Here is a 12,157-nt window from a genome sequence, read left to right as displayed (position 1 = left end):
CCTAAGTCAGTTACAGATATTGAGAGACAATTCTCCATGGTATCATGCATTTCTGTATCTCTTGTAAGCAGAGGCACTGACTTCTCTTTGTTCTGGACTATCTCTTCAAGGATGTTTATATAGCAAGTAGCTGTGGAAGACAAAAATAGTCTCTCCCTCTGGAGCAAAGTATAGGTTTGCTTATAGCGTTGGAAGATAGAGGCTTAGTGTCTCCTTCCAGTCTAATAAAGATAGTAGCTCCCTTGGAGATAAAGAGCAGGGATGCTTATTGCTAATTATAGAAGATTTGGGTTCCCTAAGCTAAGGGTTACTCTCCTGTAATGTAACCCACTGCATGTACAAATGTTACCTGGCCCTTACTATGTCATCCTGTGGGAATTGGGGCTTAGGAAACTGGAAAAAGAAATGCTGATATTTAGGCTATTCTTACTGCTGTTGATTAATAAACTGCCTTTTGTCTCTGACCAAGGCACCTCCTGTCTTCTACCAGCATCCATGAAACTATGGAAGGCTAACTTCTCATCTTGCAAGTAGGATAAAATCTCAAACCCTTTTTTCTTTTTTTCAAATTCTTTTTTCTTTTTCTTTTCTTTTCTTTTTTTTTTTTTTTTTTTTTTTGAGACAGGGCTTTGCTCTGTTGCCCAAGCTAGAGTACAGTGGTGTGATCATGGCTCACTTTAGCCTTGACCTCCTGGACTCAAGCAATTCTCCCACCTTTCAGCCTCCCAAGTAGATGGGACCACATGTGGGCACCACCATACCCAGCTAATTTTTTTTTAATTAATTTTTTTTTTCTTTTGTAGAGACAGGATTTTGCCATGTTGCCCAGGCTGGTCTCGAACTCTTGGGCTCAAGCAATCTGCCTGCCTCGGCCTCCAAAAGTGGTGGGATTACAGGCATGAGCCACCATGCCTGGCCCCTAAACAATCCTTAACAACAGATTGCAGCAATATTTGGGTAACTTGGCTGGTATGGTGTGGTATAGTTGGTACACTCATGTAGGCAAGGAACTCTTTTACCTCCAGTGGCTGACCACTCTTTTGGATATACGTGGGACCCTGGGAACATATTCTCAAGAGGAGAAATGAATGGGCATCAGGGTTGGAAGTAGAAGATGGGATGAGATCTAGAGCTTTTGGCCCAGAGCACTGGCTAGAACTGTGAAGCCTCTGATAACCCTCACTTGAGGTAGTGCTTGGGTGGAGGTGGACAGAGGCTATAGAGGAAGGAGGAGGAAAAATAGGTTGATAGAGGAAAGAAGATTCCATGAAACTTCACAGCAGCCAAAAGTGATTCATCCTTATTGAAACTTCTAAGTCAATGTTGGCACCTATCATTCCAAAGCTTACTAGCTTTTTTTTTTTTTTTTTTTTTTTGAGCCATGAGTACACATTTTTGTGAGCATTCTGCATTGGTGCCTTAATGCCTGTTGAGTGTGCTCACATTGAGTGCTTGCTGGTGGCTGAATGTGAGCAGGCTTGTTCTAGGAAAAGACATGATGGCAGCGTCTGGTATTTTTCGTCATTCTGCTTATGTCCCCTGTCCTTCATCCCCCATCCTCACCCCAGTCTTTATGGTTTATTAAAATACTTCCCAAGCACCACTTAGGCAACTCTAACCACATGCAAGGCTGGCCACAGAGCTCTGAACCTCAGAAATCTCAGCTCATTCTGACTTCCTCAGAGTTGGAATGTACTAATGCTGCTTCCTAGAACGAGTCCTTTGCCCAGTTTTCTGTTGCGGGAAAGTATTCAGGGTTGTTAGTGAATGTGCTGTATCTTCTTACTTGTTAGCCACATGATAAAACAGTTGTATTTTCTTTCATGCCATAGGGACTTCTATCCGGCGTCATCGGATTACTCTTCCGCCTCCTGATGAGGATCAGTTTTATACTGTGTATCATTTTAATGTCGGCACAGAGGTTGTCTTCTATGGCCGGACATTCAAGATTTATGACTGTGATGCATTCACAAGAAACTTTTTGAGGAAAATAGGGGTCAAAGTGAATCCCCCAGTGCAATGTCCAGAAGATCCTTACATGAAGATTCGGAGAGAGGTAAGGAATTGACGTTTGTTGAGTTCTTGTCTTCAAAATAAAAATCCCTTTGGAAAGTCAGTAAAGGGTGTTTGTACTCCTGATGCAGATGTGAAAGAGCTTTTAGAGCCATAGTTATTCCAGTTTTGTTCTTCTTTGGGCTAGAGGGAAGGCTGAGTGTTAGCCACAGAGCAAGAATGACTTCCTCACTGCCTCACCCCAATTCTCTCTGTAGAGACTCTCTCTTTCAGGCAGTAGGAGTCTTCAGTGAACTGCACAGGTGAGACAGATTCTAGGCACCCACAATTGACTTTGTGGTCACTGATGGTATATGAGTTGTATCCACATTTCCTTGGCTTGTGTTTTTGCTTTTTAGTTGTCTAACTCTGGCTAGAAAGATCTTTGCTTCTATACTAGTGATTTAGTGAAGCAAGCCTTGGGTACACATTTTTTCTTCCTCCTAGGAAATTCCAGGTCCTCTTAGGATGGCATTGGATGCCAAGATGCTCTGGAAGAATAAGGAAGACCATGATTCTGATATACCCCCTTTAGGAAAGGATGTTTATGTACAAGGTCTGACCCCAGCTAGTGTAAGGGAGTAAAGACTCAATATTTTTAGTATTATTTTTGTCTTCCTATTTTTTAAACAGTCCCTGGGCCCAAATTTTGTTTTCCAGAAGAATTTGAACACTCAAAGGGGGGTGGAAGGTGACAACACCCAGCTAATCTCCTTGCTGGGACTGGATCGCAAATGTCTTGACTCTTACCCTGATTTCCATCATTGTCACTTGTTTCCTTTTTCCTTTTCTATTGAAGTGTGATTACACACAGTAAAATACACAGAAATTAAGTGTACAGTTGGATGAGTCTTAACAAATACACGTACCCCTATAACCTACCCCCATATTGAGATGTAGAGCATTTCTCTTCCCCCAGAAAGTCCCCTCATGTGTTTATCGAATCGATCCCGCTCCCCACCACAGACAACTGCTGTTCTCATTTCTATACCCATAGATGAGTTTTGTCTGATTTTTATTGTTTTAAAACTTATGATTCATTTCCTTGCAGAGAGGTAACAAAATTTAGAACAAAATTCTCTTTTGATTCTGTTTTGATCTCTTTTTAAAAGCCACTTGTAGGATCATTCATCTATTCCTGCCTCCCAGCCCCAGCAGAATTATTCTTTAATGTTGTTGTAGGCATACAGCCCTCTGGAGAAATATATATATTGTTGATCCTGGAATATCTAAGGTGAAATGCCTGTATATTGATGTACAAAGGGATTTTTTTTGGTTTGGATTCATTTTTATTTTTTCCAAATGCCCTGGATGAAAGAGTCTAGATAAATAGAAAGAATTTAGAACCAGCAGAGAGAACTTGAAGGAAATGGATCCAAATGAATTGCCACCCTTTGCATATGGCTGCAGTCATTCACTAACAGTTGTTGTTATATGATAGTGATTGTGAATAATGATGGATTATATGAAAATGCGCAGAGCACTGTGGGATTTCATAGGTTTATGAAGAAAAAAATTTATGTATATTTAAAATTATACTTTAAGTTCTGGGATACATGTGCAGAATTTGCAGGTTTGTTACATAGGTATACACCTGCCATGGTGGTTTTCTACACCCATCAACCCATCATCTACTTTAGGTATTTCTCCTAATGCTGTCCCTCCCCTATCCCCCCACCCCCTGACAGGCCCTGGTGTGTGATGTTCCCCTCCCTGTGTCCATGTGTTCTCATTGTTCAACTCCCATTTATGAGTGAGAACATGCAGTGTTTTGTTTTCTGTTCCTGTGTTAGTTTGCTGAGAATGCTGGTTTCCAACTTCATCCATGTCCCTGCAAAGGACATGAACTCATCCTTTTTAATGACTGCATAGTATCCCATGGTGTATATGTGCCACATTTTCTTTATCCAGTCTATCATTGATGAGCATTTGCGTTGGTTCCAAGTCTTTGCTATTGTGAATAGTGCTGCAATAAACACGTGTGCATGTGTCTTTATAGTAGGATGATTTATAATCCTTTGGGTATATACCCAGTAATGGGATTGCTGGGTCAAATGGTATTTCTGGTTCTAGATCCTTAAGGAATTGCCACACTGTCTTCCACAATGGTTGAACTAATTTACACTCCCACCAACAGTGTAAAAGCATTCCTATTTCTCCACATCCTCTCCAGCATCTGTTGTTTCCTGACTTTTTAATGATTGCCATTCTTTTTTTTTTTTTTAAATGGAGTCTCACTCTGTTGACCAGGCTGTAGTGCAGTGGCGCGATCTTGGCTCACTGCAAACTCTGCCTCCCAGGTTCAAGAAATTCTGTGCCTCAGCCTCCTGAGTAGCTGGGATTACAGAGGCCTGCCACCACACCCGGCTAATTTTTTTTTAAATATTTTTAGTACAGACAGGGTTTCACCATCTTGGCCAGGTTGGTATTGAACTCCTGACCTCGTGATCCACCTGCCTCGGCCTCCCAGTGATCGCCATTCTAACTGGCGTGAGATGGTATCTTATTGTGGTTTTGATTTGCATTTCTCTAATGACCAGTGATGATGAACTTTTTTTCATATGTTTCTTGGCTGCATAAATGTCTTGTTTTGAGAAGTGTCTGTTCATATCCTTTGTCCACTTTTTGATTTTTTTTTTTTTTGTAAATTTGTTTAAGTTCCTTGTAGATTCTGGATATTAGCCCTTTGTCAGTTGGATAGATTGCAAAAATTTTCTTCCATTCTGTAGGTTGCCTGTTCACTCTAATGATAGTTTCTTTTGCTGTGCAGAAGCTTGTTAATTTAATTAGATCCCATTTGTCAATTTTGGCTTTTGTTGCCATTGCTTTTGGTATTTTAGTCATGAAGTCTTTGCCCATGCCTATGTCCTGAATGGTATTGCCTAGGTTTTCTTTAGAGTTTTTATGATTTTAGGTCTTATGTTTAAGTCTTTAATCCATCTTGAATTAATTTTTGTATAAGGTGTAAGGAAGGGGTCCAGTTTCAGTTTTCTGCATATGGCTAGCCAGTTTTCCCAACACCATTTATTAAATAAGGAATCCTTTCCTCATTGCTTGTTTTTGTCAGGTTTGTCAAAGATCAGTTGGTTGTAGATGTGTGGTGTTATTTTTGAGGACTCTGTTCTGTTCCATTGGTCTATATCTCTGTTTTGGTACCAGTACCATGCTGTTTTGGTTACTGTAAACTTGTAGTATAGTTTGAAGTCAGGTAGTGTGATGCCTCCAGCTTTATTCTTTTTGCTTAGGATTGTCTTGGCTATACGAGCTCTTTTTTGGTTCTATATAAAATGTAAAGTAGTTTTTTTCTAATTCTGTGAAGAAAGTCAGTGGTAGCTTGATGGAGATGGCATTGAATCTATAAATTACCTTGGGCAGTATGGCCATTTTTATGATATTGATTCTTCTATCTATGGGCATGGAATGTTTTTCCATTTGTTTGTGTCCTCCCTTATTTCCTTGAGCAGTGGTTTGTAGTTCTTGAAGAGATCCTTCACATCCCTTATAAGTTGTATTCCTAGGTATTTTATTCTCTTTGTAGCAATTGTGAATGGGAGTTCACTCATGATTTGGCTGTCTGTCTATTATTGGTGTACAGGAATGCTTGTGATTTTTGCACATCGATTTTGTACCCTGAGACTTTGCTGAAGTTGCTTATCAGCTTAAGGAGATTTTGGGCTGAGATGATGGGGTTTTCTAAATATACAATCATGTCATCTGCAAACAGAGACAATTTGACTTCCTCTCTTCCTATTTGGATACCCTTTATTTCTTTCTCTTGCCCTGGCCAGAACTTCCAATACTATGTTGAATAGGAGTGGTGAGAGAGGGCATCCTTGTCTTGTGCCAGTTTTCAAAGGGAATGCTTCCAGCTTTTGCCCATTCAGTATGATATTGGCTGTGGGTTTGTCATAAATAGCTCTTATTATTTTGAGATACGTTCCATCAATACCTAGTTTATGGAGAGTTTTTAGCATGAAGGGGTGTTGAATTTTATTGAAGGCCTTTTCTGCATCTATTGAGATAATCATGTGGTTTTTGTCATTGGTTCTGTTTATATGATGGGTTACATTTATTGATTTGCATATGTTGAACCAGCCTTGCATCCCAGGGAGGAAGCTGACTTGATCTTGGTGGATAAGCTTTTTCATGTGCTGCTGGATTTGGTTTGCCAGTATTTTATTGAGGATTTTCGCATCAATCTTCATCAGGGATATTGGCCTGAAATTTCCTTTTTGTGTTGTTGTTGTTGTTGTGTCTCTGCCAGGTTTTGGTATCAGGATGATGCTGGCCTCATAAAATGAGTTAGGGAGGAGTGCCTCTTTTTCTATTGTTTGGAATAGTTTCAGAAGGAATGGTACCAGCTCCTCTTTGTACCTCTGGTAGAATTTGGCTGTGAATCCATCTGGTCCTGGGCTGTTTTTGGTTGGTAGGCTATTAATTACTGCCTCAATTTCAGAACTTGTTATTGGTTGGTCTATTCAGGGATTTGACTTCTTCCTGGGTTAGTCTTGGGAGGGTGTATGTGTCCAGGAATTTATCTATTTCTTCTAGATTTTCTGCATAGAGGTGTTTATAATATTCTCTGATGGTAGTTTGTATTTCTGTGGGATCAGTGGTGATATCCTGTTTATCGTTTTTTATTGTGTCCATTTGATTCTTCTCACTTTTTTTCTTTATTAGTCTGGCTAGCAGTCTATCTATTTTGTTGATCTTTTCAAAAAACCACCTCCTGGATTCTTTGATTTTTTGAAGGGTTTTTTGTGTCTCTATCTCCTTCAGTTCCACTCTGATCTTAGTTATTTTTTGCCTTCTGCTAGCTTTTGAATTTATTTGCTCTTGCTTCTCTAGTTCTTTTAATTGTGATGTTAGTGTGTTGATTTTAGATCTTTCTCACTTTCTCCTGTGGGCATTTAGTGCTTATAAGCACTAAATATATAAATTTGCCTCTAAACACTGCTTTAGTTGTGTCCCAGAGATTCTGGTATGTTGTGTCTTTGTTGTCATTTGTTTCAAAGAACTTATTTATTTCTGCCTTAATTTTGTTATTTACCCAGTAGTCATTCAGGAGCAGGTTGTTCAGTTTGCATGCAATTGTGCGGTTTTGAGTGAGTTTCTTAATCCTGAGTTCTAAGTTGATTGCTCTGTGGTCTGAGAGACTGTTTGTTATGATTTCCGTTCTTTTGCATTTGCTGAGGAGTGTTTTACTTCCCATTATGTGGTCAACTTTAGAATAAATGTGATGTGGTGCTGAGAAGAATGTATACTCTGTTGATTTGGGGTGGAGAGTTCTGTAGATGTCTATTAGGTCCACTTGGTCCAGAGCTGAGTTCAAGTCCTGAATATCCTTGTTAATTTTCTGTCTCGTTGATCTGTCTAATATTGACAGTGGGGTGTTAAAGTCTTTCATTATTATTGTGTGGGAGTCTAAATCTCTCTGTAGGTCTCTAAGGACTTGCTTTATGAATCTGGGTGCTCCTGTATTGGGTGCATATATATTTAGTATAGTTGGCTCTTCTTGTTGCATTGATCTCTTTACCATTATGAAATGCCCTTCTTTGTCTTTTTTGATCTTTGTTGGTTTAAAGTCTGTTTTATCAGAGACTAGGATAGAAACCCCTGCTTTTTTTTGCTTTCCATTTTTTTGGTAAATATTCCTCCCTCCCTTTATTTTGAGCTTATGTGTGTCTTTGCATGTGAGATGGGTCTCCTGAATACAGCACACTGATGTGTCTTGACCCTTTATCCAATTTGCCAGTCTGTGTCTTTTAATTGGGACATTTAGCCTGTTTACATTTAAGGTTAATATTGTTATGTGTGAATTTGATCCTGTCATTATGATGCTAGCTGATTATTTTGCCCATTAATTGATGCAGTTTCTTCATAGCATCAATGGTCTTTATAATTTGGTATGTTTTTGCAGCAGCTGGTACTGATTTTTCCTTTCCACATTTAGTGCTTCCTTCAGGAGCTCTTGTAAGGCAGGCCTGGTGATGACAAAATCTTTCAGCATTTGCTTATCTGTAAAGGATTTTATTTCCCCCTTGCTTGTGAAGCTTAGTTTGGCTGGATATGAAATTCTGGGTTGAAAATTCTTTTCTTTAAGGATGTTGAATATTGGCCCCCACTCTCTTGTGGCTTGTAGGGTTTCTGCAGAGAGGTCTCCTGTTAGTCTGATGGGCTTCCCTTTGTGGGTAACCCGACCTTTCTCTCTGGCTGCCCTTGACACTTTTTCCTTCATTTCAACCTTGGTGAATCTGACAATTATGTGTCTTGGGGTTGCTCTTCTTGAGAAGTATCTTTGTGGTTTCCTCTGTATTTCCTAAATTTGAATGTTGGCCTGTCTTGCTAGGTTGGGGAAGTTCTCCTGGATAATATGCTGAAGTGTGTTTTCCAACTTGGTTCCATTCTCCCTATCACTTTCAGGTACACCAATCAAACGTACGTTTGGTCTTTTCACATAGTCCCGTATTTCTTGGAGGCTTTGTTTGTTCCTTTTCATTCTTTCTTCTCTAATCTTGTCTTCACGCTTTATTTCATTAAGTTGATCTTCCATCTCTGATATCCTTTCTTCTGCTTAATCGATTCAGCTATTGATACTTGTGTATGCTTCACAAAGCTCTCGTGCTGTGTTTTTCAGCTCCATCAGGTCATTTATGTTCTTCTCTAAACTGGTTATTCTAGTTAGCAATTCCTCTAACCTTTTTTCAAGGTTCTTAGCTTCCTTGCATTGGGTTAAAACATGCTCCTTTAGCTCAGAGGAGTTAGTTATTACCCACCTTCTGAAGCCTACTTCTGTCAATTCATCAAACTCATTCTCCGTCCAGTTTTGTTCTCTTGCTGGCGAGGAGTTGTGATCCTTCGGAGGAGAAGAGGTGTTCTGGTTTTTTGGAATTTTCAGCCTTTTTGTGCTGGTTTTTCTTCATCTTTGTGGATTTATCTACCTTTGGTCTTTGATGTTGTTGACCTTCGGATGGAGTTTTCATTTGGACATCCTTTTTGTTGATGTTGATGCTATTCCTTTCTGTTTGTTAGTTTTCCTTCTAATAGTCAGGCTTCTCTGCTGCAGGTCTGCTGGAGTTTCCTGGAAGTCCAATCCAGACCTTGTTTGCCTTGGTATCACCAGTGGAGGCTGCAGAACAGCAAAGATTGCTACCTGTTCCTTCCTCTGGAAGCTTCGTCCCAGAGGGGCACCCTCCAGATGCCAGTCGGAGGTCTCCTTTAAGAGGTGTCAACCCCTGCTGGGAGGTGTCTCCTAGCAGGAGGCACAGGGGTCAGGGACACACTTGAGGAGGCAATCTGTCCTTTAGCAGAGCTCGAGCACTGTGCTGGGAGGTCTGCTGCTCTCTTTAGAGCTGGCAGGAGGAACGTTTAAGTCTGCTGAAGCTGTGCCCACAGCCACCCCTTCCCCCATGTTCTGTGTCCCAGGAAGATGGGAGTTTTATCTATAAGCCTGTGACTGGGGCTGCTGCCTTTCTTTCATAGATGCCTTACCCAGAGAGGAGGAATCTAGAGAGGTAGTCTGGCTACAAAATCATTGCTGAGCTGTGGTGGACTCCGCCCAGTTACAACTTCCTGGCAGCTTTGTTTACACTGTGAGGGGAAAACCGCCTACACAAGCCTCAGTAATGGGGGACGCCCCTCCCCCCACCAAGCTCCAGCGTCCCAGATCGACTTCAGACTGCTGTGCTGGCAGCGAGAATTTCAAGCCATCGGTCTTAGCTTGCTGGGGGGATCCACTGAGCTAGACCACTTGGCTCCCTGGCTTCCACCTCCTTTCCAGGGGAGTGAGCAGTTCTGTCTCACTGGTGTTCCAGGCGCCACTGGGGTATGAAAAAAAAAAAAAACTGCAGCTAGCTTGGTGTCTGCCCAAACAGCTGCCCAGTTTTGTGCTTGAAACCTAGGGCCCTGGTGGTGTAGGCACTTGAGGGAATCTCCTGGTCTGAGGGTTGCAAAGACCATGGGAAAAGCATAGTATCTGGGCCAGAGTACACTGTTCCTCACAGCACGGTCCCTCACGGCTTCCCTTGGCTAGGGGAGGGAGTTCCCTGACCCCTTGTGCTTCCCGGGTGAGGCGATGCCCCACCCTGCTTCAGCTCGCCCTCCGTGGGCTGCACCTACTGTCTAAGCAGTCCCAATGAGATGAGCCGGATACCTCAGTTGGAAATGCAGAAATCACCCTCCTTTTGCATTGATCTCGCTGGGAGCTGCAGACCAGAGCTGTTCCTATTCGGCCATCTTGCCAGCCACCCCCAGAAAAAGATCTTTTGTGCCAGGAATTGAGAATAAATACCAAGAACAGCTAAGAAATGTTTTAAATAATTTCCTTTCAGAGTAGGAACATCATTTTAGCATTTATTCCCTCAGGGAGAAAATTCTTCAATAAATATAGTAATCTTTGGGAAATTAGGAGTTTAATAAGAGGCTTCTATATTGACTTTCATACATTTACTTCTGCAGTGTTTGCTGTCTTGAACTGTAAAGTTAAAATTAAACAATTTAACTTAGACTGAAAAGAATCCCATATATTATCAATAATGCTTTTCTTAGAGGCCTCATAATGCCAAAGAAACATTTTTCAATCAATTGAAATAGTGGTCCCATAATTTCATTTAAATATCAGAGATAAGACTGAAGAGTCTTTGGAAAGCCATCATGTCTCCCCACTGTCTTGGGTTAAGACTGCACCTAGACTGCCCTCGACAGATAGAAATTTCAAAAATTTACAAAAAGATTGTATAACCTGATTTGGGATAACATCTCCCTTGTCAGTGTGCACTTCCTTATATAACAGTCCTATTTGGTTACATCAGATGAAATGGGGGCAGTTTAACTCCACGACAGGGCTGCGAAAGTGCAAATAGAGGGAAGAGTTGCATCAAGAAGACTATGGAACTAACTAGTGGTTCCTGGGACAGAGGACAGCCGAGGCAGAGGCTCTGCAGACCTTAAGACCTTCTCCATTTGCTGTGCTCCTGTTTCTCCGGGGCATTCTTATCCTTGATACCTAAAGCTTTTTGAGCTGAAATAAAACAGTGAATATATTTCTTCCCTTTTACCTTCACAAAAATCTTTGAATGAGTAAGAATTATGAACACATATGAATTTCCCAGTGAAAAGACAAATTATGTATTTGGTTGAGATATAATTAATACGGAGTCAAACATATAAATCTTAAGTATATAGGTCAACAAGTTTTGTAAAATGTGTGCAATTGAGTAACCAACACAAAAATCGAGATGTAGAATATTTTTACCACCTCAGAAAGTTCCTTTCTCCCCATTTCTGGTCAAATTCCCTACCCAGAGGCAATTACTGTTCTGATTTCTGTCACCGTAGATTAGTTTTGTCTGTTCTTAAATAAGAATTTTAAATCTTTTTGAAAAGTCAGTTTTAAAAAATATTAAAGAAGTATAGTTTTTTCTTTTTTTAATCTTTTTTTTTTTTTTTTTTTTTTTTTTTTTTTTTTTTTTTTTTTTTTTTTACAGAGTATTGCTCTGTCACCCAGGCTGGAGTGCAGTGACACAATCTCGGCTCACTGCAACCTCTGCCTCCCAGGTTCAAGGGATCCTCCTGCCTCAGCCTCCTGAGTAGCTGGGATTACTGGCACCTGCCACCGGACCTGGCTAAACTTTTTTGCATTTTTAGTAGAGACAGCCAGGCTGGTCTCAAACTCCTGGCCTCAAGTGATCGACCCACTGTGGCCTCCCAAGGTGCTGAGATTACAGGTGTGAGCCACCCCGCCTGGCCAGAAGTATAGTTTAGTGTATTAATGTTTAATATGAAAAACTTCCTCAAACTTGTTTGTCTCTATTCTTTTTTTTTTTTTTTTTTTTTTTTTTTGAGATGGAGTCTCACTCTGTCGCCCGGGCTGGAGTGCAGTGGCGCGATCTCTGCTCACTGCAAGCTCCACCTACTGGGTTCACACCATTCTCCTGCCTCAGCCTCCCGAGTAGCTGGGACTACAGGTGCCTGCCACCACGCCCGGCTAATTTTTTTGTATTTTTAGTAGAGACGGGGTTTCACCGTGTTAGTCAGGATGGTCTCGATCTCCTGACCTCGTGATCCACCTGCCTCAGCCTCCCAAAGTGCTGGGATTACAGGCGTG

General features: G+C 41.0%; 1 protein-coding gene across 4 annotated transcripts in view, besides 2 other annotated features; it reads left to right on the top strand.

Annotated features, from left to right (window-relative positions):
* Nucleotides 1-12,157, top strand: part of EFHC2 (EF-hand domain containing 2) — a 195,801-nt gene that overhangs the window by 80,542 nt on the left and 103,102 nt on the right. For all 4 annotated transcript variants that reach the window (XM_047442535.1, NM_025184.4, XM_006724562.3 and 1 more), the window contains one exon: nt 1,833-2,056. In XM_047442535.1, the coding sequence (XP_047298491.1) occupies nt 1,833-2,056 (224 nt within the window). The remainder of the gene's footprint in view (nt 1-1,832; nt 2,057-12,157) is intronic.
* Nucleotides 8,813-9,665: an enhancer, noted in NCBI's record as "H3K27ac hESC enhancer chrX:44112712-44113564 (GRCh37/hg19 assembly coordinates)". NCBI's record gives its function as "activates a minimal SCP1, AML or CMV promoter by ChIP-STARR-seq in primed H9 embryonic stem cells {active_cell/tissue: H9 hESC(primed)}" and the evidence as "EXISTENCE:reporter gene assay evidence [ECO:0000049][PMID:30033119]".
* Nucleotides 9,666-10,519: an enhancer, noted in NCBI's record as "H3K27ac hESC enhancer chrX:44111858-44112711 (GRCh37/hg19 assembly coordinates)". NCBI's record gives its function as "activates a minimal SCP1, AML or CMV promoter by ChIP-STARR-seq in primed H9 embryonic stem cells {active_cell/tissue: H9 hESC(primed)}" and the evidence as "EXISTENCE:reporter gene assay evidence [ECO:0000049][PMID:30033119]".

Source organism: Homo sapiens, chromosome X (genome assembly GCF_000001405.40).
Source record: "Homo sapiens chromosome X, GRCh38.p14 Primary Assembly".
Lineage (NCBI taxonomy): Eukaryota > Metazoa > Chordata > Mammalia > Primates > Hominidae > Homo > Homo sapiens.
The sequence above is the reverse complement of the archived record's forward strand: the minus strand, read 5'-3'. Positions and strand labels throughout refer to the sequence as shown.